General features: G+C 59.0%; 1 protein-coding gene across 2 annotated transcripts in view, besides 14 other annotated features; it reads left to right on the top strand.

Moving 5' to 3' along the window:
- CSPG4 (chondroitin sulfate proteoglycan 4) overlaps nt 1–25,981 on the top strand; it is a 39,145-nt gene that overhangs the window by 2,790 nt on the left and 10,374 nt on the right. For both annotated transcript variants that reach the window (XM_047432196.1, NM_001897.5), the window contains exons 2-5: nt 17,444–17,607; nt 19,865–23,401; nt 24,976–25,458; nt 25,765–25,941. In XM_047432196.1, coding sequence (XP_047288152.1) covers nt 20,675–23,401; nt 24,976–25,458; nt 25,765–25,941 — 3,387 coding nt within the window. In that variant the 5' untranslated portion in view covers nt 17,444–17,607; nt 19,865–20,674. The remainder of the gene's footprint in view (nt 1–17,443; nt 17,608–19,864; nt 23,402–24,975; nt 25,459–25,764; nt 25,942–25,981) is intronic.
- Nucleotides 8,503–9,428: an enhancer, noted in NCBI's record as "H3K27ac-H3K4me1 hESC enhancer chr15:75993590-75994515 (GRCh37/hg19 assembly coordinates)". NCBI's record gives its function as "activates a minimal SCP1, AML or CMV promoter by ChIP-STARR-seq in naive H9 embryonic stem cells {active_cell/tissue: H9 hESC(naive)}" and the evidence as "EXISTENCE:reporter gene assay evidence [ECO:0000049][PMID:30033119]".
- Nucleotides 9,436–9,935: an enhancer, noted in NCBI's record as "H3K4me1 hESC enhancer chr15:75993083-75993582 (GRCh37/hg19 assembly coordinates)". NCBI's record gives its function as "activates a minimal SCP1, AML or CMV promoter by ChIP-STARR-seq in naive H9 embryonic stem cells {active_cell/tissue: H9 hESC(naive)}" and the evidence as "EXISTENCE:reporter gene assay evidence [ECO:0000049][PMID:30033119]".
- Nucleotides 10,263–10,312: a silencer, noted in NCBI's record as "silent region_6679". NCBI's record gives its function as "represses an Ori minimal core promoter by ATAC-STARR-seq in GM12878 lymphoblastoid cells {active_cell/tissue: GM12878}" and the evidence as "EXISTENCE:reporter gene assay evidence [ECO:0000049][PMID:35858748]".
- Nucleotides 10,443–10,532: a silencer, noted in NCBI's record as "silent region_6678". NCBI's record gives its function as "represses an Ori minimal core promoter by ATAC-STARR-seq in GM12878 lymphoblastoid cells {active_cell/tissue: GM12878}" and the evidence as "EXISTENCE:reporter gene assay evidence [ECO:0000049][PMID:35858748]".
- Nucleotides 11,820–12,567: an enhancer, noted in NCBI's record as "H3K4me1 hESC enhancer chr15:75990451-75991198 (GRCh37/hg19 assembly coordinates)". NCBI's record gives its function as "activates a minimal SCP1, AML or CMV promoter by ChIP-STARR-seq in naive H9 embryonic stem cells {active_cell/tissue: H9 hESC(naive)}" and the evidence as "EXISTENCE:reporter gene assay evidence [ECO:0000049][PMID:30033119]".
- Nucleotides 12,568–13,317: an enhancer, noted in NCBI's record as "H3K4me1 hESC enhancer chr15:75989701-75990450 (GRCh37/hg19 assembly coordinates)". NCBI's record gives its function as "activates a minimal SCP1, AML or CMV promoter by ChIP-STARR-seq in naive H9 embryonic stem cells {active_cell/tissue: H9 hESC(naive)}" and the evidence as "EXISTENCE:reporter gene assay evidence [ECO:0000049][PMID:30033119]".
- Nucleotides 15,244–15,333: an enhancer, noted in NCBI's record as "active region_9862". NCBI's record gives its function as "activates an Ori minimal core promoter by ATAC-STARR-seq in GM12878 lymphoblastoid cells {active_cell/tissue: GM12878}" and the evidence as "EXISTENCE:reporter gene assay evidence [ECO:0000049][PMID:35858748]".
- Nucleotides 15,567–16,316: an enhancer, noted in NCBI's record as "H3K4me1 hESC enhancer chr15:75986702-75987451 (GRCh37/hg19 assembly coordinates)". NCBI's record gives its function as "activates a minimal SCP1, AML or CMV promoter by ChIP-STARR-seq in naive H9 embryonic stem cells {active_cell/tissue: H9 hESC(naive)}" and the evidence as "EXISTENCE:reporter gene assay evidence [ECO:0000049][PMID:30033119]".
- Nucleotides 15,567–16,349: a biological region, named in NCBI's record as "Sharpr-MPRA regulatory region 4583".
- Nucleotides 15,934–16,083: an enhancer, noted in NCBI's record as "active region_9861". NCBI's record gives its function as "activates an Ori minimal core promoter by ATAC-STARR-seq in GM12878 lymphoblastoid cells {active_cell/tissue: GM12878}" and the evidence as "EXISTENCE:reporter gene assay evidence [ECO:0000049][PMID:35858748]".
- Nucleotides 16,055–16,349: a silencer, noted in NCBI's record as "tiled region #4583; K562 Repressive DNase matched - State 5:Enh". NCBI's record gives its function as "represses a minimal TATA promoter and a strong SV40 promoter by Sharpr-MPRA in K562 cells {active_cell/tissue: K562}" and the evidence as "EXISTENCE:reporter gene assay evidence [ECO:0000049][PMID:27701403]".
- Nucleotides 17,066–17,816: an enhancer, noted in NCBI's record as "H3K4me1 hESC enhancer chr15:75985202-75985952 (GRCh37/hg19 assembly coordinates)". NCBI's record gives its function as "activates a minimal SCP1, AML or CMV promoter by ChIP-STARR-seq in naive H9 embryonic stem cells {active_cell/tissue: H9 hESC(naive)}" and the evidence as "EXISTENCE:reporter gene assay evidence [ECO:0000049][PMID:30033119]".
- Nucleotides 23,486–23,990: an enhancer, noted in NCBI's record as "H3K4me1 hESC enhancer chr15:75979028-75979532 (GRCh37/hg19 assembly coordinates)". NCBI's record gives its function as "activates a minimal SCP1, AML or CMV promoter by ChIP-STARR-seq in naive H9 embryonic stem cells {active_cell/tissue: H9 hESC(naive)}" and the evidence as "EXISTENCE:reporter gene assay evidence [ECO:0000049][PMID:30033119]".
- Nucleotides 23,991–24,496: an enhancer, noted in NCBI's record as "H3K4me1 hESC enhancer chr15:75978522-75979027 (GRCh37/hg19 assembly coordinates)". NCBI's record gives its function as "activates a minimal SCP1, AML or CMV promoter by ChIP-STARR-seq in naive H9 embryonic stem cells {active_cell/tissue: H9 hESC(naive)}" and the evidence as "EXISTENCE:reporter gene assay evidence [ECO:0000049][PMID:30033119]".

Here is a 25,981-nt window from a genome sequence, read left to right as displayed (position 1 = left end):
CCGAATGAGGCGTGCTGGGAGGCTCTCCCTCTACTCATCAACATTTGAGGCATCCAGGTCAGGGGGCCTGGCAGTCAGCACCCTAGAGGCCATCTGGGCCAATCTTCCACTTGTATAGAGAGGGAAACTGAGGCCCCAGAGAGGAAGAAAAGTACTCTGAGTTCCACCAAGAACCCCAGCAGCCCAGGAAGAGCCCCCAGCCCTGCTTCGAGGGTGCTCCCAGCCTGCGTCGGGGCCTAGGCTTGGGCCACTGAGACAGTGTGGGTGACAGATGCGGTGTCCAGCTCCTTCTGAGCTGTATGGGAGGCCCCAGCAGAGAGCCAAGCATTGGGGGAGATTGGATTTGAGCTGATACTGGAAGGACAGGCAGAGAAGGAAGGAGGTGACATTCTAGTCGGGGGGTCACAGTGAGCACAGGGCAGGCAGGGGTGGTGGCTCCCACACCTCTTCCCTGGCATCACTGACTGAAAGGCAGAATGTGAGGGGTTGAAGTGGGACCCAGGTTGGGGAGTACCTGGCAGGGAGGGCTTGTGTGTTACCTGGGTGGGGACTCAGAACTGATGGGGGTATCTTAGTGAGCAGGGCCACAGGGACACCAGGTACAAGAAATTGAAGCAGGGTAGATCCTGCTGCCTCTGAGGATGGCTTGGGGGGACCGATGGTGCTCGGGACAGGCACTGAGCCTTGTGTGCACCTTGTGTGCCACCCCAGGCCTCCGGAGCAGGGCAGGGCCCAGGGGCCAGAGCCCTTGGCCCAGCCCACCCGGACTCGAGAAAAACTGTTCTAGAGCAAGTGTAACGGAGCCTCCCTCCCTACGCCTGCCCGCCCGGGCAGGACAAGAAGGGCCTTTTAGTGCTGCCCGCCTGGGGGGCCTGGGGTGGGCCATGCCAGGTGGGCCAGGCGGCTGTCGATGACGGCAGGAGGGGAGTAGGGTGCGTGTGGAGCTCTCAGAGGAAGTGTATAGGCTGTGTCTGGGAACTGGGCGTGCTGCCCAGGAGGGGCGGGCAGGGGAGGGGGAGTTGGAAATAGCCTTGACGTCCGCACTTACTGGCGCACACAGATGTGGGCACACACACTTGCACACGGCCACTCTCACAGACCTGGACGAGGTGGCTACTGCCTCTGTCTCCAAGTCCCCTACCTTAAAGATCTGGGCCAGTGGCACTTGCGGGGAAGGAAGTGAGCACAGGATGGGGACAGGGGTGCCACCTGAGGTGTGTCTTCTATTCAAGGCCAGGGGCAAATGAACAAGGGGCCTGTGGGCATGGGACTGAGGCCTGGTCCCTCCCTGGTCCCTCTGCTCCTTCACTGCCTTTCCCCCTGACTCCCGCCCCATCCAGCTCTCCTCTTGCCTCCAACATGCCCTCCGCCCCAGCATATGTCAGTTCAATAGAGCCTTCCAGAGTTAAGGCTCTTCCTCCAGCTGCAGGCTTAGGGCAGGTTTCAGATTTACTGTATTACCATTCCTACTGAGTTTGTATGAGGAATTTTTGAATGAACTGAATTTGTATGAACAATTTTGTACTTGGCTCCTCCGTGGGGCAAGGGTTCCTAGCTCTCTCCGCTTCTCAGGAGGGTCCGTAACTCCAAACAGGAGAGGACAGAGCTGTCTTATTGCTGTGCTCTTACCTTCAGGGACACCCCATAGTGTGCACTAACCATGTTGTTAGTCCTGCAGCCCCACAGCAGCCCTGCAGGTCAGGAAACAGTCACTGCAGCCTCAACCTCCCAGGCTCAAGCGATCTCCCCACCTCAGCCTCCTGAGTAGCTGGGACTTCAAGCATGTGCCACCACACCAGGGTAATTATTTTTTGTAGAGACGAGGTCTCACTATGTTGCCCAGGCTGGTCTCGAACTCCTGGGCTCAAGCAAGCCTCCCACCTGGGACTCCCAAAGTGCTGGGATTACAGGTGTGAACCACCATACCTGTCCAACAGTCCTATTTTACAGATGAGGAAACTGAGGCTCAGAGAAAAGCAGGGACTGCCTCAGGTCTCTCTTTGGGCACACAGGCCGTGGTGTTCTCACTCACCCCAACAGCAGCGAGTTTCCCCACATCAGGCCAGGTGGACAACCACCCACCAGTGGGCTCAGGCCCCAGCAGGGGAAAGAGAGAGGTCTGCAGGGACAGACAGCTCGCTGAGGACTCCAGATGTTTGTTCTGTCTCCCCATCCCCCACCAGCCAGCGTTCTCTCCCTTTCCAAACCCTCCCCACTTTCTCACAGCCTAAGCAAATCCCCTTCAAAAAACCCTCTCCCCCCAAAGCTAGGGTTGCCAATGAAGCCACTTTTGTCTCTGATGTAGGGTGATAGCTGTAGGGCTGCTGTCAAGGTGGCCTGGTGGCAGGGGTGGGCCCCATCAGGGACAGTGCCTGTCCTGTTGAGCATTCCTGCCTCTCGCTCAGCTCCTTCCCACACCCAGGCCGGCTCCCAGCCTGTGGAGGAGGCCGCTGGCTCTGCCAGCCCTGGCATGCATGCGTTAGCCAGGCCTCCAGCCATCGCTCCTGCTTCAACACTTCAGTGTGTGGCTCTCCTGCGGCCTAAGGTTGAGGTGTGTCAGTGACGCTGCCTCCCTTCCCGGAACTTACTGCAGAAACCCCTGACCCCAGACCAGCCCCCCATGGATCCTGGGGAAACCCGGGCTCAGACAGAGGAGCCTGCTTGTTCAGAGTCACACAGTGAGTCCTCAGGAGATTAGGGGGAGGGCTCCCTACTCTTTGGCCCTGGTTTGGGGGGTAGCTTCACCCTCAGGACCAGCAGCTCCCCGGGAGCACACATCCCACCTGCTTTGCTCAGGGGTCTCCCCCATTGTAGGGCTCACAGCCTGGCCCCCAGAGGGGTGTAGAGATCACTGAGCCAACCAGGGATTTTCTGACTGCACTCCAGCGCACCCCAGGGCTCTCCAGCTGAGCCGGCCTGGAGGCAGCTGAGCTTGGGAATATGGGACGCCTGCCCCACCCCAATTCATGCAGAGCCACTCCACAAACCTGTTTATAGATTGGGTTCCATGAAGATTGGTACTAAGGGCCCTTGGAAGATGTCCTTCCCCAAGTCTGGGAGCCTGGAGGCCGGGAGCAGAAGGTGGTCCCAGCTTCCTCACAGCAGGCCTGGGGCTGTGTGGCCTCTCCTGCCCCAGCTTCCCACTCCTGCCCACTGCCTGCTGGCCCTCACTCCACACTGGCTGAGTGTCCCTTATCTGAAATGTTGGGGACCTGAAGTGTTTCAGATTTTGGAATTTTTTGGCTTTTGGAATATTTGTTATATATAGTGAGATATTTTGAAGATGGGACCCAAGTCTAAACATGAAATTGATTTATGTTTCATATACACCTTATACACATAGGCTGAAGGTAACATTATAGATTTTTTTAAAGAAATTTTGTGCCTGAGAGAAATTTATGTTAAGTTCTTATGTGTGGAGGCCAGGCGCGGTGGCTCACGCCTGTAATCCCAGCACTTTGGGAGGCTGAGGCAGGCAGGTCACCTGAGCTCAGGAGTTCGAGACCAGCCTGGCCAACATGGTGAAACCCTGTCTCTACTAAAAATACAAAAATTAGCTGGGCGTGCTGGCGACACCTGTAATCCCAGCTACTCAGGATACTGAGGCATGAGAATCGCTTGAACCTGGGAGGCAGATGTTGCAGTGAGCTAAGATCGCGTCACTGCACTCCAGCCTGGGTGACAGAGTCAGTGAGGGTTCATCTAAAAAAAAAAAAAAAAAAAGTTCTTATGTGTGAGATTTTCCACTGGTGGTATCCTATTGGCACTCAAAAAATTTTGGATTTAGGGGCATTTGGATTTTGAATTTTCAGATTAGGGATGCTCAACTGTGCTGTGCTATGTCCTTCTCTCCCCAAATATATCATCCTCCCTGGTCAAGGTGATCCTGTGTCCCACGGACTGGCTGATCAGATAGAACTAGGCCATCAGATAATAATCCACAACCGCTGGCACCTTTCCACTTCTACTCAAGCTGCTCCATGCAACAGGCCTTCCCTTTTCCCCCATCCTCCAAGGCTCAGCTCCAGTATCGCCACCCCCAGGAGCCTGTTCTAACCACAGATTGCTCTGAGACCCATGACCTGGATGGCCCCTCTCCTGGGGCCCTGCCCTCCATCTCTGTGGGGTTACAGGCCTTTCTTCCCCTACCCTCACCTGGCCTCTGTCCCCGGTTCATGACCTTCTTCAGCCTGACACCCAGTAAGTGCACATGCGTGTGTGTGCACACACACACTCACACACACACATACACATTCACACACACATACATACACTCACACATACACACTCACACACACGCAGTATTGCTCAGTAGGCAAGGAGAGTGTCCTGCCCCGAGCCAGCAGCCCCAGGGAAAACCCCCAAAATCAGGACACAGTGCCTCGTTCCCCCGCCAGGGCAGGCCCTCTGGCCTGGGCCAGTCCACTCTCTGGGGAGACAGAGGGGGCTGGGGAGAGGAGACGAACTTCCGTTCCCACCTAAGAGCAGCCCCTTCCCCCACCCACATTTCAGGAAGGGGCAGCTATAAATACCAGTGGGACCAGGACACTGATTCCCACGACACCCGCTTCTCCCTGCCCCTTCCCTGTGCACAGTTGCTGGGGCCAGACCAGCTCTCCTGCAGCTAGAGTCCAGCCAGGCAGGCCTGAGGCCTAGCCACACACACACAGAGACACAGACATACGCACACAGGCACACACAGACATAGATACACACAGACATACAGACACAGACACATGCACACAGACACACATACGCACACACACACGCACACAGACATATACACACAGGCACAGACACACACATATGCACACAGACACATACAGACACAGATACACACACACACTTTTACTTCCCACCCTGGTCAAGGAGGAGCAAATCACCCTTTTTGGGAGTCTGCGAGCAGCTGAGAGGGAGCCCCTCCCCTGCCCCTCAGCCCTGACCCAGGCCCCATCTCTCCCTCCTCTGAGTCCTGAGCTGTGGGAACCCACACAGGGAAGCAGGAGGCCAGGCACATGGTGGTGAAACACGGCATTAGAGAGCTCAGGTTGAATTCCAGCCCTGACGCTCTATGCATGACCTTGGGCAAGTGACTCTGTCTTTCTGAGCCTCAGTTTTCTCCTCTCTAAAATGGGGATAAATAATTCCAACCTCTTACGTGTTGTAAGGATTAAGCAAGACACTTTGCCTGGAATCAATGCTCGGTGGACATCTGCTCCTGAAGCTGCAGTCACTCTGCTATTAGCATCTTCTTCCCAGGGTGGAGTGGCCCGGCAACATGGGGACTTCTGCTTAGGAGTGTTTAAGGAAGATTCCGAGGCAAAGGCCTAGAGGAGGTGGCCCCGTGAGTCTGTGTGGGACTAAGTGACATGGAAAAGGAGAGGTGGGCTCTGGAGAGGGTATCAGCCAGCGGCTGCCTGCCAGCCCAGGACCCTTCAGAAGGTGGGAGGGGGTGGGGGTCTGCATCTCTGTGGCTAACTGGGCTGAGGCCCACACCCCTCTCTCAGTGCTAGAAGAAGTGGGGACAGCCCCTGCCTGGCCCTCCCCAGGGCCTGTTTCTCCCAAGCCTAACAGCCCCTAGGATGGGGCTCACTGGGCCGGGGCACAGCAGGAACCCCCTGTCCCCAGAGCAGGTGAGTGAGGAGAAGAGAATGAGCAGGCCCCAAGACCTTTTATGGGACGGGGACCCTAGAAGCCTGTCTTTTCCCTGCTCTCTACCAACCCCTCGCGAGTCCCTCTCTGGAGGTGGGGGCTGGAGGCCAGGGCCCAGGGACGTGGGACAGCTCACCTGCCAGAGTCACCATGGGGCTGTTACCACCACTCATGATATAAGCAGTGGTGGCTGCATCACGAGGAGCAGAAATCCGGACTGAGGGAGGGGACAGCCCTCTCCGCTCTGGGCTGCTAGGACCCCTCAGTGGTATGGGTGTATGTGAGCTCAGAGTAGGGGGAGGTGTGGGGAGGTGACTGAGGTGACTGCAGAGTGGGGTGCACAGCTCGGGGCAGGGACACTGGAGGGACCCCGGACAAGGGCAGGCCTGTGCCTGAGCCCTCAGGGCAAGATCCCATTGTGCAGGCCCCCACTGCCTTCACCCACGTAGAGGTGACTCTTCTCCACAGACCCCTGGACAGGGCCCGGCCAGGCCCCCCACCCACATGTTTTAATGGAATCCAGGTGGCTGCCCCTGGCCAAGGTTCCATCTCTGGGCATCTGGGGCCCGTGTGCTTCTGGCCACCCATCTGGAGCCTGGCTGAGCCCCTCCAGGGGTGGGTACTCAGACGGGGGCTGTCCCTCCAACCGTGGACAGCCCTGGGGCCAGCGAGATATTGTAGAGGCCTGAGCCAGCTGGCTGATGGTGCCACAGCCCTTGGGCTACCTGGCCCTGCTATGTGGCCTTGGGGAGACCCCTGGCCCTATCTGGGCCTCTGGGTGGAATCTTCAGTCTCCTAGGTCAGCTCTAAATTCTGAGCTTGAGCCTCTTGGGAACAGGACAGGGGCCTCTGCCTCTATCTAGAGAGAGCCAGCTGCTTGTCCTGGGCCAAGCAGCAAGGCAGGCTAGGCCTGGAATGGGGCTGAGAAGCAGCCCAGCCTGCCAGGACTCCCTGGCATTGGAAAGCCACTTTCCTAAGTTGGCATGGAGCCCTGGGGCTCCCCCCGGGATGAGAGCAGCGGCTCCTCTCCACCCCCGGCTCCCATCTTCCACCCCCTGGCCCCAGCCCCGCCCTGCCAAAAATAAACCCAGACCACCCCATCTTGTACCAGCCAGACCCACCCAGCCCCTCCAGAGCCAATTGAGTCACCACTCAGAGCTGCTCCTTTTTTAACTGTCTGAGTCACTGCTTGTGGCTCCATGACACATGCCCCAGGCTACGGTTACCCCACAGCCCCTACAAGCGCAGCCAAGGGAGGGGTCTGCGTAGAGGCTGGCAGCAGGTGTGAGTCCAGGCCATAGCCTTAGCTTGTGAGCCCTCCAGGCCTAGGGAACTCACTCCATAACAAGCCAGAGACCAGACCTGTCCCTCAAGGTCCCGGCCGTGCCCAAGACAGCCCTTGGGGATCTTGGTGACAAGGTCAATCTGGGCTCTGCCCCACCGCATTGCGTTGCCTCCAACAGGCCTGGGCCTTCCCCGTGGAGACTGCCGGGAACGGAGGGTCTCCAGCCCCTAGACCCTGGAGGCTGGGGGTGGGCGAGGCCACAGAGACGCCTGCTTCCTCCCTCCTCACCGGCTCCACCCGGACTCTGACCACGCTGCCTGGAGCACCATGAAGACTCTATGGGACGGAAGCCACACTTCAGTCTCCCCTCACGGCTTCTGTCTGCCCCTGCGCAGGGTCACCCGGGCTGCAGAGCACCCCCGATCTCTCAGTCCATCCCCCCATCCCGCTCTCTCCATCTCTCTGTCCTTTCCCACCCCTGGCTGTGGTTCCTCCATCTCTTTCTGTCTGTCTTTCCTACCCTGTCTCTCTGTCTGTCTGCCCATCTCTCCAGTCCTGCTCTGTTCTCCTTCCCTTCTCCTTTACCGGGTTCCACGGCAGTCAGAAGTGCTCCCTGCCGCCAGCACCCCACCCGTCCCCAGGGCCCTCTCTGCCTTCTCAGTAGACATAACAGACCCTCACCTCCTCCCATTCCCACAAGGGACTCTGGGCCCCAGGGACCAATCCTGAGAAATGTTCCGCTCCCCTCACCAGGTCCTCCCGTGCCCCAAAGTGCAGGCTACATCCTGTCCCAGGGAGTGTCAGGATCCCACAGGCACTTCCTTGGGGGTTGACAAAGGCGGGCAGGGGGGCCTGGGAATGGCCCCACCTCCCAGTCCATGCTAGAGCAGGGGCCTGTAAGCCTCAAACCCCATCCGTCTTCTGTCTGTGGCTGTGGCCTCCGGCTATAAATAGGGGCTCGGATTCTATTTTCTTTAAAAACAAGCACCAGACTCTGTCACCACAGGCCCAGAAAAGCAGTCTCTGGCTCTGGCAGTCCCTCGAGCCCTCCCAGGCCATAGTGTCCAGTCCCCTGCCTCTGAGCCCTGGGGCTCTGGAGGGCAGAGGAGGCCTGGAAAGGAGACTGGAGGTAAGACAAGGTGGGGAGGGCTGGGGCGAGCTCCCAGAGGCAGCCCCTCCCACTGGGCCCATGGCCCTCATGCCCTGGTGGGCCCCTCCCTCCTTTCCTCCCACGTCCTGTCCCCAAGCAAGGTCAGTCTTGTCCCCAAGGCTCACAGTGTAAATGGAGAGAGGTGACAACAGCACAGCCCCCTGGGCCGCAGCGAGTGTCTTTGCACCCCAAGGACACAGAAGGTGCTTTGGGCTTTTTTCCTGAAAGAGCATGAGGACATTTCACAGGTGGACAGGAGAGAAGAGCTGGCCCAGCAGCAGGCCCAGCCTGAGCGAAGGCAGCAGGTCGGCCCTGCTAGGTGTGCACGGAGTCAGTGCAGAGTCTAGTGAGACGGAGGCGTGGAGTGTCCTTGGAAGAGAGCAAGAGACCCTGCAGGCAGAGTTGAGGGCACCCTGGCCTTCAGTGCCACCCGGGGGTGGGGGCCTGACCCTGGGGCAATGGGAGCCACCAAAGGCAAGGGAGGCTGAGGGAGTGGCTTTCAGTTTGGGTTAACTGGGGCTGCTATTAGCAAAGGGAGTCAGGAGATTGATTAAGCCAGACCGAGGACGGTGGCCAGCCGCCTTATGGATGGACCAGGGAGCAAGAGAGGAAGATGAAGTTGAAGGAGAATTTGGGGACTGGATGGATGGAACCTGAGTATTAATCAGCAGTGGCTGTGGGGAGGGAGGAGGAGGAGAGTTCAGTGCGACCCTCAGATGTCTACTCAGCAACAGGTGGACAGTCGGGCCTTCACGGGGCTGGCGAGCCAGCTGTAGGGGAGAGTACACTGAGTCCTCCTTGCTTTGGGTGGGGTTGGGCTTGGGGGTTCCTGTGGGTGTTCCTGCCATGGACATCTGAGGGACACTGGCAGTGGGCCTGGAGCCCTGGAGAGTTGGTGCCAGTGAGAGAGACGTGGTGCATTAGCAGAGGCTGGGCCTGAGGCCGGGAGAGAAAAGGAGGGCCAGAGGGAGTGTGGTGGCGGTGGGCACAGCTCCAGGGGGGGCCCACAGGCTGCAGGCTTCCAGGCAGTTGGCAGGTGGGGGTGCTAGGCAGGAACCTATTCCAGGAGGAGTCAGGCCTGCCCAGGAAGAGAGGTCTCAGTCTCGGGATCTCTGATGGGCCTGGGTAGCCCAGAGCTTCACTAGCAAGGACACTGAGGTTTCCTGGTGCACCCCCCGGCAACGCCCTCCCACTGGAGCACCACCAGTGCTGGGACTTGCTGTGGTGGGACAGCTCTGCCTGATAGAAAAACCCTCACACGGGACAAATGCCATCTCATTTGATCCTTTCGTTCCCTTAGATGCTGACATCACCTCCCTCATCACAGGTCCATGGCCTTCTTGCTGCACAGATGCCCTGGGAAGGAGATGTGGGCCCTGGTCCTGTCCTCAAGAGCTTCCAGTCTGGCTAGACCTGTGGCCATTTAGGCCAGAGGTGGCTCTACTGTACCCACGGTAGTGGCCACACCTCTTGCCAGTCTGCTGGGCTGGTCAGAGGCCAGATGTGTGTCAGTCCCTCTATCCAGGTCCCCTTTTACAGATGGGGACACTGAGGCCAGGGAAAGCATGGAAGCACATGGCTCTGAGCCCTGTGTGTGTGCTGGGGGTGTGAGCCCTGACCCAGGCTTCTGCCCTGGACATGGACTTCTGTCTGTGGGGTGAGCCCACCCTCTGTATTCAGATGGGGGAACTGAGGAGGAGGCACACAAGGCTACTGTGCACAAGTTGTGCCACCAGATTTCAGGTCCAGGCAGCCGTCCAGACCCACAGTCACCATTTCCTCTGTTCTTCCCCCATCCCAACTCACACACTCACTATCTCCAGACCCAGCCCGCCAGGCTGGGGAAGCCCCGAGACGCCGCCCCAGCAGCCCTGTCTTCAGCAGTTTCTGCTGCCAGAGCCAAGGGGAACTCAGAGATGAGCCATGGGCTGCCTGGTCCTGGACACAGCCCAGGAGAGAGCCTGGCCCTCAGCCTCCTGGGGGCAGCTCCCACCCAGACCCCTGTCTCTCCACCCTCCTCCCAGACCTCCAAGTCACCAGTGGGCAGGGCTGGCACTTATCACTGGCTTCTGGACCTAGTCATCCCCCGCCAGCCCCTGCAGAAGGGCCCTCCCGATTCGGCCAGCCCCAGAGCCACAGAGGAGGGGCTGCCAAACCGCCCAAGGAGAGCAGATGCTTCCCTCCCCTCCTCGCTGTCCCCCCCTCCTCGCTGCCCCCTCCACCCGGCCCTGACAGAAGAGTCCCAGGGGACAGGAAGGGAAAGAGTGTGTGTTCCCCAGGCTGGGGTCCAGCTCTCACACCCTCCTCCCACTGGGGCCATTGGCAGATGCTCCACTTCCGATTCACAGGCAGCAAGCAAACCCACCACGCCTCTCTGGGTGCACACACGGTGCATGTGCCCTGCTGACACCCACAGCCCCTAGCTCTGGAGCCACACCCACAGGAGCTTAAGTCCCAGCCCTGCCGCTGCTCCACAGGCTAGCACGGAGGACTGCCCTCTCTGAGCCTCAGTTTCCTCACCTGTAACATGGGAGATGCCTCCCAGGAGCCCTGCTAGGGCTGGGGGGCTGTGCAGGCCCAGTGCCAAGTGAGGGTCCTTCACTCTTCTCTTCCCTGCCAGAAACCCTACCCCAGCCTGGGTCCACTGAGGTGAGGGTCCCAGGTCCTCTAGGGCCAGGAAAGTGGGGGAAAGGAGGGTACGGATGGAGCCTGGAAACCCACCCATCTCCCTGTCCAAGAGGGAAGATTATAAGGCAGGGAAAAGCCTCTTGGAACCGCTCCCCACCGCAGCCACCCCACCCTCCTCGCCTGAGGCCTGGGGAGCAGCAAGACTTCCACAAAGACACCATTGAGGCCCCGCTTCCTCCTCCCCCGGCCCAGCCCTCCCGCCTGGGTGGACTCTGGGCTGCTTCTTCCCTCAAAACCTCTCATTTCCCCTCCTGCTTCCTCTGTGCTCCACAAGGCCCCAGGGTTGGGACATGTGGCTGGGAGCCCAGGGTGCAGCCCCTATCAGCCTCTGTGGACCAAGCTCAGCTTCTCCCACCCCACCTGCCCCTGCTTCCACTCATCTTCCAGACGGGTTCCCTCAACTGGAAATGTTCCCCAGCACATGCCCCTCTACGTGGGTGACTCAAAGCGCTTGGTTAGAGGATGGTAGCTGAGGCCAGTGACCAGGGTCAGGGCCCAGCCAATAGCTGAGGAAACTGTTTTCCTCCCTGGCCCCCTTGGCCTTGCAAGGGACCAGAAAGGCAACTAAACAGAAGGTCAGCTGACCTGAGTGTGTGTCTCTTGGCTCAAGAGTTTTTGGTGCTGCCCTGACCCCGACAGAGGTCTCTGCAGCATTTAGACGTGGAGGCAGTCACCTGAGCAGGTGCCTAGCACTCCAGCACCCCACTGGGATAAAGCAGTGTCTCCTGAGATGATGGCTGCTGTTGTAAGCTCCATGGGATTTGGAACTAACCTACTGTTGTCCGCATTTCGGTAGCTCACGGGACAGGAGAGGAGCAGGCAGTCCTTGGGCCGCGGGGATGGCCCTGGGTGGTGGAATCCCAGTCTGGAAGCAGCCAGGAAGAGTTGCTAAAGAGCAGTGAGCCCTGAGGGGTCTGCAGGTGTGTGAGCGTCTCCCAGGCAGCCCACCCTGGCCAGTGATGAGCCTTCTAGGCCTGGGCCCTGGTGACCCCAGTGTCATCACTGGGCAGGTCGCTCCCCTTAGTCTGACCTTAAGTCTCCCCTGTAACCTACCCCCTTGTTACCCTCAGAGTAACAGGGTTGGGTGAAGGTGATAGCTCAGTGTGGGTGGCTGAGCCTTGGGGAGTCTGCTGGGAGGAGGTTTGAGAGGGGCTCACCCCTGAGTAGGCACACCAGACAGCTTCTCCCTTGCCTGAGGAGCCCAGGGAGACCAATGTGCTGGGGAGGGGACCCCCAGTTATGTCTCGGTATCCAGGGCCCACAGTGGGGCCAGACCAGGGACCCAGCGCACCCCTTCCTCGCCTGCCTTGCCGCCACACACGTGTGTACATGTGACACTGACCCACATTCCTGCACACACTCACCCATGCCCTGCCTGCTTGGTTGGAAGTAGATTGGTGGCGGAAGTAAAATCGGGGAGTCCCTTGGAGGTGCAAGGGGAGGGGAGGGGAACTGACCTGAGGTCTAGAGGGCCAGGTGACCTCAGGGAGGGTCCGCTGCTGGGGAAGCACACCTGGCCCGTCCATGCTCTCACAGAGCCGGCATTCAGCCCCCAGGTGGGCCACGACCACCCCCCGCCCCACCACATACACACCTATGAGGGGAGACAGAGAGCCCTTCATCCCGGCCTTGGCCCTCCCAGAATACCCCATCCCACAGCCCCCTCAGACTCCCTCACCCCTGCCTGCCCAGACCTGGAGCCAGGATCTCCCGCCGTGGTGCCAAACCCCGAGGGGCGGTGATGGAGAAGTCTGGCTTCGTCTTGGAGCAGGGCCCTCCCTCCCCAGCAGGCTGGCTGGGCATCCCCTCCTCACTCCTGTGCACAGCAGCAGGCTTGCTGCCAACATCCCGCCTTCTCTGTCTCCCTCGAGTTTTCCTCCTCCGTCTCCTTCCTCAGGCCTTGGTCTGTATGTGAATCCAGTCTTTATGGAGGAGGGCATCTTGATTTCTCCTTCTCAGTTTTAATAACTTTCTCCCATGTTAGCTGTCTTCTTCCATTCCCATCACTGTATTGCTGTATTTGTGATTGAGTGAATGAATGAATGGGTCTCTATTACGCATTCCACCTCTCACCTCCTGCTCTGTCTCTGTGGCACTGGGTGTCCCTCCCCCACATACAGATGTCCAGGTCTCCTGCCCTCACCCTCAACTACGGGCCCAGGCACTCCCCACGGGCCAGCAGCTCCGGGCTCCCAGAATTTCTCCCTTATAAAGTCAGGCAGCAGCAGACACCCAGGAATGCTGCTGCTCCCATGACGCAGCCTGGCTGTGGGGCTGCCCCCAGGCAACCAGGAACATGGCGGGAGTGGGGCACACAGGGATCCATTGCCAGAGAGTGGGGTACAGTGGGGGTGCCTGGGTGGGTAGGGCTCACACGGGTGGTGCTGGGACCTGCTGGATCTCTTTCTGCTTCTCTTCGTCAAATCGCTTCTCCTCTGGAGCCTCAGTTTGTCTGTCTGGAAGGTGGAAGCTGAGTGCCCTGCAGCAGGCTTGAGCTACAGAGAATGCTGATGCTGTGGGACTCAGCACCCATGGAGGGTGGGGCCCCAGGCCGGGGCCCTCCAGACTGTCCTAGAGCAAAGGGTGATGTGCCCAGGGACAGCCAGGATGGGGCAGAGGGAAGAGGGAGCCAAAGAGCTAGGGGGAGACCAGGGGGAGCAGAGGCAGAGCCTGGCAGCAGGGATGGCCGGAGGCGAAGGAGAGATGGGGCAGATACAGGGACACAGGCAGCCTTCTGAGGACTCAGAAGGAACAGAGCCCACAGCAGCCCTCAGCCTGGAAGAGGCATCTGTGCCTGAGACCCGGCCCTGGCCTGGCTGGGGAAGGTGGGGCCCTGGCCGGGGGAGGCGGGCCTGATGGGCAGAGATGTTCCCCTCACAGCGACTCCTTGTCCCCGGAGCCTGGTGTCAGACAGAGGGCTGGGTGTCAGGCTGGAAGCCTCAGGGGCCCATCCACACTCCTCCTAGTAGTGCCTCCGGGGAGCCCGGAGATGCCAGCGCAGCCCTTGCCCTGACAGAGGGGGCTTGCTGGGGACCTTGACCGAGGTTTCCTCTAGCCCCTGAGAAGGGACTTGGCAGGGAAGGAAACAGGCTTTTTCTGTGCCCCCAGGCCTAGATCTCAGGAAGAAGGATGGAGCCACCCCACCCTCAGGCCCAGACAGCAGTGCCCTGTTTATGGGGAGGAAGGGTGGGAAGCCTGAGGATGTACCCACCTTTAGCAAACCTCTCTATGGGCGCTGAGCAGGAGGGGCAGGAACCCTCCAAGAACACACAGCCCCTTTCATGGAGCCAGGCCCAGCCAAGTAATGGCAGGCGGGCACCGAAGGGCAGGACAGGCCCGGGCACAATCATTGCTCTGTCCTGGCAGCTCCCGGCCCACACACGCGCACACACACACAAACACACAGCCTTACGCAAACCCAAAGCACACCCCCAGCAGCCACCCACATGCTTGCGCACACACAAATACACATCTATTAATATACAGCCCTGGACGCCCACTGACGCGCCTTCCAGAGAGAGAAACCCATACACGCAGCACTCTTCCTGCCCCTCCCACGGGCCCCCAGACCTGTGGGGCATCCTGCTCCTCTCATGCCCAAGGCTTGGCACCTCCAGGCACCCCATGCCATTAACCTTCCCCACATCCATATGGACAGCAAACTCCTAGATCAGGGAGAGACCCCCAGGACTAATCCCCACAGTCAGGAGGGGGAAGGGGTGGGAGGGACTGTGCCCATTTTACAGAATGGTGACACTGAGGCCTGAAGTGGGCCCCTTCTCCTGGCTCAGAGGGCAGCCCATGGGGCTGCTACAGGTTTGGTCTGCTGTTTTGATGAATCATGGGTCCTCTTGACCCAGGAGAATCAACGGCAGGTCTGATCCAGCCTGTGCCAATGTCTCCCCACAACCTCCTCCATCCCCCCGCCCCAGTCACGCAGCCGAGCCTAGCTTGACCCATTCTACTTTTCCCTCTACTTCTCTTCCTTCAAGTTAGCCAGAGGCTTTAGCGGGTGATGGAGCAGAAACCCTCCTAGCCCCACCCAAAGGGGACCTGTGTACTTCCTGCCAGTCTCACTCGGCCTTGCTGCTGTCCTCTGAGACTGCCTATTCCTCCCTCTCTGTGTCTGTACACCACCGTGACCTCCTCCAGGAAGTCCTCTGGATTGACTCCTAGCTTATTACATCTTAATTCTGCACACCCTCTCCATTTGAAGCCCCTCTTCAACTGCCCCCCCACCACCTCCAAGACAGGGATTCTGAGTTCTTGCAACTGAAGCCCCTCAGAGAGTGTAAGAGGGGCAGAAAAAAGGAGACCAGGAGGTGGAGGGAGTGGCGCTGTCAGAGTTTCCAGAGCCCTGGCCAGCAAGGCCTCAGAGGCCTCTGTTGGGGTGGGGGGCTGCCTGGCCACGCGCTCCAGCAGCACAAGACAGCCTGTGTGAGCCCCTCCCGCTCAGCCCCACAGGAAGCAGCAGGGCCCAGCCCCTCAATGGACCCATTCAGACCCCAGCGCTCTGGAAAGTACCTCTACTTCCTGCCACCCTCCCACTCTGGCCAAACAGGCTCTACTCTCCTCTGCTGGGAGGGGGCTGCAGGCAGGTGGTTCAGTGGTTAGGGCCAACCATCTAGTTCAGTTCCTGCCTGGCCCAGAGCCCTGATGTTGACCATGACTTGGCGGGTCTACATATACCTTTAGTGCAAGGGTGGGTAGGGGCAGGGACATGTGCCCCCTTCTCTGTGGGTGCTGGATAGGTAAATGTTTAGCAATGGGCTTTCTTGGGGAGGGGGAACCCTGATTTGCAGTATTTGCCTCTTTTCCTGGTATAAATGTTCTCACTGTGGGCAGTATCACCTGGCTCTCAAAATTCCTGAAAATTCAACAGTAGACTCCTGGCAGCTGCTGTCAGCCGCTCCAGCAGGTGACGGTGGTGGCTCTATCCTGCAGGGCCATGTGCCCCCACCCCTTGTGCTATGGCCTCCCTCACTTTAGTGTGCTGTGTTTTGCTCTTAGGAATCAATGTCTTTGCAGATAAGGCACCCCGGTAGGTGGCCGCCACCTGCAGTTCCCTGGTCTGTCCCTTGCTGGCGCCAAGCTCTGCTGAACCAGCTGGGCCGCCCCCGCGCAGATGGTCTGCAGGGCTCCCTTGATTCCCGTAGCTTCCCAGACAAGGTGCTGGTATTGCCAGCAGTGCTGGCAGGAGGAGATAACTAGAGGGGATTTAACTCAGCCCAAGGGGTTCTTACGGGATCTTTCTTGGACATCCCTCCCAGTGGGGCTGGCTGCCCTTAGGGTGTACAAGTCTCCGACTCCTCCAACGGCTGAAGCTGCTTACTCAGGCGGATGGCAGCTGGCTCAGGCTGGCCAGGGACCAGCACATGGGGCTGGTGCCGGATTATCCCTATCAAGGCCGTCAGCCTGTGCTCGCTCTCGGGTTTGAGGGAAGCCCAACAGGAATGAATCACCGTTTTTAACCCGTGTTTCTCTACCCCCCAGCCCTGGACATCTGCAGGCAAAGTCAAAGTTATATTTGGCTCTTATCACCACAAAAGGCATGGACCAGAAATTGTGGCAGCGGGTTGGAAGTCAGGGAGGCTAATCTGGGGAAACTGACTGGAGGAAGCAGCAATTCAAAAGAGGAGGAGTCCCAGTATGGGACAGAACGGGCCCTGCATAGGAACCACTAACCCCAGGCAAGCCCAGACATGGCCTTCTGCCTGGGGAGGCCCTCTTTGGCCTGCCCAGCAGACCCTCAGCCCCTCCCAAGCCCTGTCTTCAGCCTCAGCCTGCGTGGTGGCCTGGGGAAGTTAGGAACTCAGCTGTTCTCATCCCTGGTTCCTTGGCCACGGTGGAAACAATGGGGCCGGATCTGACTGCTCATCGGGGACTGTGAATAGCTCTCCAGCAGGAAGCAATAGCAAGGGTAATGGAGGAAGTGTGGGCCCACTTTGGTTTGACACTGCACATGGTCCCCATCTGGCCTCAGAGCCTTTGCTCCTTGGCAGACTCAGGCCAATAAGCTCCTGCCCCGACGCTCAATGGCAGCTGGAAGAATGGCCTGAGAGAGAAGCGGGGATAGGTGGGCCATGCTGACACCACCCCCAGATCCCAGTCGTGGCCTCAGCCAACCCATGGAGGCGGGGCATGGCACAGCAGGCGCTGCACAGGAGCCCAAGCACAAGGGCACTTAGGAGAAGGAATCTGAGCAGGGATCAGTCTGGACTGGGGGTGATTCTCCAGAAACTCCATTCCTTGGGGCTGTGACCACCAAGCCAGATGGTCAGGCCAGTTGCGGTTCCCTTTGGGCTGGGTCCAGGAGCCAGACCCACGAGGGAGACTCCTCTGGGGCCCAGGGGAGGCGAGTCAGAGCTGGCGGAGGCCTCTGGCTCCAGGAACCTCCAAGGAGGAGACCTGAGTTGCTGGGAATTTCTGGGTCTGACCTCCTGTAAATACAAGATCTGGGCTGGACACAAGGTGAGCCTGTGCCTTCTGGTGCCAGGACCAAGAAGATGCTGGGACCCGGGCAGTGCTCAGAGGCAGCACCATACAGCAGAACCATGAGGGTGCGCCAGCACGGACCCCTTTCTGCAACCCACCCGTCCCTCTTTGCGGCACCTCGCCTCCTCCAGGCAAGAGTCTGAGCCTTGACCACAGCTCCCTCTCTCACACAGCTTCCTTCTTCGGTGAGAACCACCTGGAGGTGCCTGTGGCCACGGCTCTGACCGACATAGACCTGCAGCTGCAGTTCTCCACGTCCCAGCCCGAAGCCCTCCTTCTCCTGGCAGCAGGCCCAGCTGACCACCTCCTGCTGCAGCTCTACTCTGGACGCCTGCAGGTGAGTGACGTCCCCCTGAGATCTGGGCGGGATTCGGGGTGGGATTCCTTCTCTAGCTTTGAGTGAACCCCAGCTGGCTGTGTGACCTTGTGTAAGTCACTTTTATCTTGGGGTCTTAAGTTCTCCACTGTGGGATGGGCAGCAGCAGCCCAGAAATGGTAAATCCTTCATGAACTGGCTCTGCCCACTGGCTCCCTCCAACCATGTTTCCCGCCACAACCCCTCGCTGGCCCTTTGTGCTCTGACAGCCCTGAACTGCTTTCAGTTCCTGGCCATCTTACAGTCGCTTGCTGCCAGGCTCTTGATGCACACTCCTTCTGCCAGGTGTGCGCCTCTCCCGTTCCCTGCACATGCCTAACTCCAGCCTCTCCTTGAAGTCTCAGTGTGGGCATCCCCTCCTCCTGGGCTAGGCCCCCTCCTGAGCCCCCATGACCCCTGTGCATCCCGGTGGCACTGCACCAATTTCTCTGCAGCACCATGGTCTGTCCACGACAGTAACAGCACCAGTACTGCCTCAGCTTCCTCATTTTTCCATTTCATCCTTCAAGACACCACAAGCTTTGTTAGCAAGGAGTCTTGTGGCTTTTTTGAGTCTTCCCCTAAACCATGAAGAGTTTAAGAACCCAGGGTCTTATTCCGAATTTGTGCCAGGCTGGGTGCAGTGGCTCATGCCTATAATCCCACCACTTTGGGAGGCCAAGGTGAGAAGATCACTCGAGCCTAGGAGTTCAAGTCTGGCCTAAGCCACACAATGAGTCCCCATCTCTATTTTTAAAAGAAAAAAATAACCGGACGCGGTGGCTCATGCCTGTAATCCCAGCACTTTGGGAGGCTGAGGCGGGTGGATCACCTGAGGTCAGGAGTTCGAGACCAGCCTGGCCAACATGGTGAAACCGTGTCTCTAATAAAAATACAAAAAAATTAGCCGGGCATGGTGACACATGCCTGTAATCCCAGCTACTCAGGAGGCTGAGGCAAGAGAATCACTTGAACCCAGGAGAAGGAGGTTGCAGTGAGCCGAGACCGCACCATTGCACTTCAGCCTGGGCAACAAGAACCAAACTCCGTCTCAAAAAAAAACAAATTTGGGGCAGCCATCTCCTTCCACACCCCATGGGGAGAGGACTAGGGCTTGGTCAGTCTGCTGCTTTCACTGTTAAACACCAGCGTGGTGCAGGCTGGTGCTGATGGCTGTCCAGTTCTGTAGGTACAATGATGCCACACCCCTACAGAGATGCTCCATACCAGGACTCCAAAATTATAGTTCTTAGTGCCCTGGTTCTGCAGTTACCATACTCTGCCACCTCCCATTCTACCATCTGGGAGCACCGTACCAGAGCCATTTCTGCTGTCAATGTCATGGAGACAGAACTATGTCCTTCATCTCTCCCCAAGATCTCCTTCCACCCCAGGTCAGGGAGCTTTTTTTCAGAACACAGAGTATTTAAATTTTAATTTAAAAATTAGCCTATTCCTGAACAGTGAGCCTGGCTGCCTTCAATGACCCCAAGAAACTTTGCTCTGTTGAAGGGGACTGATCAAGGGATTCCCAGTTACCCATTATTCCAAAGTTGAAATCCAGATTCCAAGACAATATTTCTGGCACCTCTCACTCAAGGAAAGAGGGGAAGAATTTAAAAACACAGGTTGGATTTCTAGGAGAGCATCTTGCTGTATGTCAGTTCCTTGTGGGCGAGGACCACATCTGATTCATATCAGGGTCCCCAGAGCCCATCCAGCCCTGGCCCAGAGTTTCCTTTGGTGAGTGTTTGGAGGATGAATAAAGAGATGGCAGGACGGCAAGAGGAGTGGCACCAGAGGCTCTTGTCCTAGGTTTTCCACTCTGGGGCCCCAAGTGTGGGGAACTCACTATGCTTTTTTTTTGTTTGTTTTTTGAGACAGAGTTTCGCTCTTGCTGCCCAGGCTGGAGTGCAATGGCATGATCTCAGCTCACTGCAACCTCCACCTCCCGAGTTCAAGCAATTCTCCTGCCACAGCCTCCAAAGTAGCTGGGATTACAGGCATGCGCCACCATGCCCAGCTAATTTTGTGTTTTTAGTAGAGACAGGGTTTCTCCATGTTGGCCAGGCTGGTCTCAAACTCCTAACCTCAGGTGATCCGCCTGCCTTGGCCTCCCAAAGTGCTAGGATTACAGGCATGAGCCACCACTGCAATCACGCCCGGCTCTATGCTTTTATAAGGGAAATGATGGATCCAAAGTGCTGTCCACTATCTCCCACTCCCCATCTCTCTTCAGGTCAGACTTGTTCTGGGCCAGGAGGAGCTGAGGCTGCAGACTCCAGCAGAGACGCTGCTGAGTGACTCCATCCCCCACACTGTGGTGCTGACTGTCGTAGAGGGCTGGGCCACGTTGTCAGTCGATGGGTTTCTGAACGCCTCCTCAGCAGTCCCAGGAGCCCCCCTAGAGGTCCCCTATGGGCTCTTTGTTGGGGGCACTGGGACCCTTGGCCTGCCCTACCTGAGGGGAACCAGCCGACCCCTGAGGGGTTGCCTCCATGCAGCCACCCTCAATGGCCGCAGCCTCCTCCGGCCTCTGACCCCCGATGTGCATGAGGGCTGTGCTGAAGAGTTTTCTGCCAGTGATGATGTGGCCCTGGGCTTCTCTGGGCCCCACTCTCTGGCTGCCTTCCCTGCCTGGGGCACTCAGGACGAAGGAACCCTAGAGTTTACACTCACCACACAGAGCCGGCAGGCACCCTTGGCCTTCCAGGCAGGGGGCCGGCGTGGGGACTTCATCTATGTGGACATATTTGAGGGCCACCTGCGGGCCGTGGTGGAGAAGGGCCAGGGTACCGTATTGCTCCACAACAGTGTGCCTGTGGCCGATGGGCAGCCCCATGAGGTCAGTGTCCACATCAATGCTCACCGGCTGGAAATCTCCGTGGACCAGTACCCTACGCATACTTCGAACCGAGGAGTCCTCAGCTACCTGGAGCCACGGGGCAGTCTCCTTCTCGGGGGGCTGGATGCAGAGGCCTCTCGTCACCTCCAGGAACACCGCCTGGGCCTGACACCAGAGGCCACCAATGCCTCCCTGCTGGGCTGCATGGAAGACCTCAGTGTCAATGGCCAGAGGCGGGGGCTGCGGGAAGCTTTGCTGACGCGCAACATGGCAGCCGGCTGCAGGCTGGAGGAGGAGGAGTATGAGGACGATGCCTATGGACATTATGAAGCTTTCTCCACCCTGGCCCCTGAGGCTTGGCCAGCCATGGAGCTGCCTGAGCCATGCGTGCCTGAGCCAGGGCTGCCTCCTGTCTTTGCCAATTTCACCCAGCTGCTGACTATCAGCCCACTGGTGGTGGCCGAGGGGGGCACAGCCTGGCTTGAGTGGAGGCATGTGCAGCCCACGCTGGACCTGATGGAGGCTGAGCTGCGCAAATCCCAGGTGCTGTTCAGCGTGACCCGAGGGGCACGCCATGGCGAGCTCGAGCTGGACATCCCGGGAGCCCAGGCACGAAAAATGTTCACCCTCCTGGACGTGGTGAACCGCAAGGCCCGCTTCATCCACGATGGCTCTGAGGACACCTCCGACCAGCTGGTGCTGGAGGTGTCGGTGACGGCTCGGGTGCCCATGCCCTCATGCCTTCGGAGGGGCCAAACATACCTCCTGCCCATCCAGGTCAACCCTGTCAATGACCCACCCCACATCATCTTCCCACATGGCAGCCTCATGGTGATCCTGGAACACACGCAGAAGCCGCTGGGGCCTGAGGTTTTCCAGGCCTATGACCCGGACTCTGCCTGTGAGGGCCTCACCTTCCAGGTCCTTGGCACCTCCTCTGGCCTCCCCGTGGAGCGCCGAGACCAGCCTGGGGAGCCGGCGACCGAGTTCTCCTGCCGGGAGTTGGAGGCCGGCAGCCTAGTCTATGTCCACCGCGGTGGTCCTGCACAGGACTTGACGTTCCGGGTCAGCGATGGACTGCAGGCCAGCCCCCCGGCCACGCTGAAGGTGGTGGCCATCCGGCCGGCCATACAGATCCACCGCAGCACAGGGTTGCGACTGGCCCAAGGCTCTGCCATGCCCATCTTGCCCGCCAACCTGTCGGTGGAGACCAATGCCGTGGGGCAGGATGTGAGCGTGCTGTTCCGCGTCACTGGGGCCCTGCAGTTTGGGGAGCTGCAGAAGCAGGGGGCAGGTGGGGTGGAGGGTGCTGAGTGGTGGGCCACACAGGCGTTCCACCAGCGGGATGTGGAGCAGGGCCGCGTGAGGTACCTGAGCACTGACCCACAGCACCACGCTTACGACACCGTGGAGAACCTGGCCCTGGAGGTGCAGGTGGGCCAGGAGATCCTGAGCAATCTGTCCTTCCCAGTGACCATCCAGAGAGCCACTGTGTGGATGCTGCGGCTGGAGCCACTGCACACTCAGAACACCCAGCAGGAGACCCTCACCACAGCCCACCTGGAGGCCACCCTGGAGGAGGCAGGCCCAAGCCCCCCAACCTTCCATTATGAGGTGGTTCAGGCTCCCAGGAAAGGCAACCTTCAACTACAGGGCACAAGGCTGTCAGATGGCCAGGGCTTCACCCAGGATGACATACAGGCTGGCCGGGTGACCTATGGGGCCACAGCACGTGCCTCAGAGGCAGTCGAGGACACCTTCCGTTTCCGTGTCACAGCTCCACCATATTTCTCCCCACTCTATACCTTCCCCATCCACATTGGTGGTGACCCAGATGCGCCTGTCCTCACCAATGTCCTCCTCGTGGTGCCTGAGGGTGGTGAGGGTGTCCTCTCTGCTGACCACCTCTTTGTCAAGAGTCTCAACAGTGCCAGCTACCTCTATGAGGTCATGGAGCGGCCCCGCCATGGGAGGTTGGCTTGGCGTGGGACACAGGACAAGACCACTATGGTGACATCCTTCACCAATGAAGACCTGTTGCGTGGCCGGCTGGTCTACCAGCATGATGACTCCGAGACCACAGAAGATGATATCCCATTTGTTGCTACCCGCCAGGGCGAGAGCAGTGGTGACATGGCCTGGGAGGAGGTACGGGGTGTCTTCCGAGTGGCCATCCAGCCCGTGAATGACCACGCCCCTGTGCAGACCATCAGCCGGATCTTCCATGTGGCCCGGGGTGGGCGGCGGCTGCTGACTACAGACGACGTGGCCTTCAGCGATGCTGACTCGGGCTTTGCTGACGCCCAGCTGGTGCTTACCCGCAAGGACCTCCTCTTTGGCAGTATCGTGGCCGTAGATGAGCCCACGCGGCCCATCTACCGCTTCACCCAGGAGGACCTCAGGAAGAGGCGAGTACTGTTCGTGCACTCAGGGGCTGACCGTGGCTGGATCCAGCTGCAGGTGTCCGACGGGCAACACCAGGCCACTGCGCTGCTGGAGGTGCAGGCCTCGGAACCCTACCTCCGTGTGGCCAACGGCTCCAGCCTTGTGGTCCCTCAAGGAGGCCAGGGCACCATCGACACGGCCGTGCTCCACCTGGACACCAACCTCGACATCCGCAGTGGGGATGAGGTCCACTACCACGTCACAGCTGGCCCTCGCTGGGGACAGCTAGTCCGGGCTGGTCAGCCAGCCACAGCCTTCTCCCAGCAGGACCTGCTGGATGGGGCCGTTCTCTATAGCCACAATGGCAGCCTCAGCCCCCGCGACACCATGGCCTTCTCCGTGGAAGCAGGGCCAGTGCACACGGATGCCACCCTACAAGTGACCATTGCCCTAGAGGGCCCACTGGCCCCACTGAAGCTGGTCCGGCACAAGAAGATCTACGTCTTCCAGGGAGAGGCAGCTGAGATCAGAAGGGACCAGCTGGAGGTGAGGAGTTGGAGGTGGTGAGCAGGGGTGTGGGCCAGGTAGAGGGCCTTCTCCCAGCCTCCATGCCAGGAACACACGTGACTTGGGCTGTGGCTGTGGTGGCTCCAGGTTACATGTGTGCACGTGCCTCAGATGTGCTCCCGTATATGTTGTGCTCCCAGGAGTTTCTGGGGAGCTTGCTATACACCCATCCTCCTGGGAGTTGTGTGCGCCTCCAGAGGTTGTGTCCACTCATGTGTATGACATGGCTGAGCATGCAGATTCCTGGACCCCACCCAGCCCTACAGAATCTCTGACGTGGAGCCCGAGAATCTCCATTGCAGTCAGTTCCCTGGGAGGACATCACGGGTCCTGAGCTTTGGGGATTGCTGACCGTGGAGACAGGCCGCTACTCCTCAGACCCTCATGTCCCCCACTCTTTTCTCAGAGCCCAGACCTGGGTGGCTTCTGCCCACCCAGGAACCCCACAGAGCAACCACGGGCCCTCCAGCAGGCTCACTGACTTGCCCTGTGACCTCAGGCCAGTCCTTGCCCGCTCTTGGCCTTACTCTCCTACACTGCTCATTTCGGAGACCCTTCTGGTCTGCATGTCTGGAGCTTGGGGCCGACAGCAAGCCAGCAGATCTGGAGTCAGGAAGGCCTCGCGGGAGGAGGCAGCGTTTGGGCCGGGCTCTGAAGAGCACAGGCCATCAGGAGCAGAGAATGGGGAGTGGTATTCCAGGCAGAAGGAACATTCCGGGCAAATGCATAGAACAGGAATGTGAGTTTGGGGGGTGGTTTGGCCTCTTGTGGCTGGCCCATCAGGTGAGGGAGCCCGTGTGGCCTTTGGGGCGTGAGCTCTGTAGGGCCTGAGCTGAAGGCGGCTGTGCCTCCAGGAGGGGTGGGGCGGGGCGCCCTCTGATGGTCCTGGGTGGTAATAGCAGGGGCTGGGGAGGTGCTGCCTGCAAACCAGCCACAGGCCTGAACGGATCCTGAGCAGGGGGGCCTGTGTGTGTGTGTGTGCACACACGCATGTGTACATGTGTGACTGCGTCAGCATATGATGAACTCGTGTGTCTGTGTCACTGAGTCTGGGGACATGTGATTATGCACCTCCCTGAGGGAGTGCATCTCAAGCTGTGTGACCGACCCCCTGCAACCGTGTGTGGGGTGGGCATTAACATGTGACCAGCAGCCGGGGCAACCCAGTGAAACCCCATCTCTACACAAAAAATTTAAAAATTAGCCGGGCCTGGTGGCACATGCCTGTGGTCCCAGCTACTTGGGAGGCTGAGGTAGGAGGATCCCTTGAGCCTGGGAAGTTGAGGCTTCAAGGAACTGTGATTGTACCACTGCACTCCAGCCTGGGTGACAGAGTGAGACCCTGTCTCAAAAAACAAAAAATGTGACCAGCTGCATGTCTGGCTGCTGTGTGTGTGAACCCACGTGTGTGTTTGTGTGTCTAAATGAGCAGTGGTATCTAGAGGAATAAGTGGGGCAAGATCAAGCCTGTTCCGGCTTCTTAGGGCCACAGTGGACCCCTCTGAGACCCCCTCTGTGGCCCCCTGTGAGTCCTTGTGACCTCTGTTAACCAGGCAGCCCAGGAGGCAGTGCCACCTGCAGACATCGTATTCTCAGTGAAGAGCCCACCGAGTGCCGGCTACCTGGTGATGGTGTCGCGTGGCGCCTTGGCAGATGAGCCACCCAGCCTGGACCCTGTGCAGAGCTTCTCCCAGGAGGCAGTGGACACAGGCAGGGTCCTGTACCTGCACTCCCGCCCTGAGGCCTGGAGCGATGCCTTCTCGCTGGATGTGGCCTCAGGCCTGGGTGCTCCCCTCGAGGGCGTCCTTGTGGAGCTGGAGGTGCTGCCCGCTGCCATCCCACTAGAGGCGCAAAACTTCAGCGTCCCTGAGGGTGGCAGCCTCACCCTGGCCCCTCCACTGCTCCGTGTCTCCGGGCCCTACTTCCCCACTCTCCTGGGCCTCAGCCTGCAGGTGCTGGAGCCACCCCAGCATGGAGCCCTGCAGAAGGAGGACGGACCTCAAGCCAGGACCCTCAGCGCCTTCTCCTGGAGAATGGTATGGCTGTGAGAGAGGCCCAGGGGCTGCAGCCCAGCTCTGGGGGCAGAGTGGAGGGAGCCCTGGGGACTCCCAGTCTGGGGGTTATACACAGAGAGGAGACGGGGAGTCACATTTCAGAAGCACCTATGCTTTAAATACCATATATCTTTTCTTCCTCACAACTCCTCGGAGCCAGAACTTATGGTCCCCATTTTCTACCAATGGAAAATGAAGCCCTAAAAGAGTCAGTCTCCTCCTGCACCCAAAGGCAGGGCATGAAGGGTGCTGCTGGGGCCTGACTGCCAGCCCTGGGCCTGCCCCTAGGTGGAAGAGCAGCTGATCCGCTACGTGCATGACGGGAGCGAGACACTGACAGACAGTTTTGTCCTGATGGCTAATGCCTCCGAGATGGATCGCCAGAGCCATCCTGTGGCCTTCACTGTCACTGTCCTGCCTGTCAATGACCAACCCCCCATCCTCACTACAAACACAGGCCTGCAGGTGAGAGCATCCCTGGGAACACCCCCATGTCTGCTTCGAG

This window comes from Homo sapiens, chromosome 15, assembly GCF_000001405.40.
Source record: "Homo sapiens chromosome 15, GRCh38.p14 Primary Assembly".
Classification (NCBI taxonomy): Eukaryota; Metazoa; Chordata; class Mammalia; order Primates; family Hominidae; genus Homo; species Homo sapiens.
The sequence above is the reverse complement of the archived record's forward strand: the minus strand, read 5'-3'. Positions and strand labels throughout refer to the sequence as shown.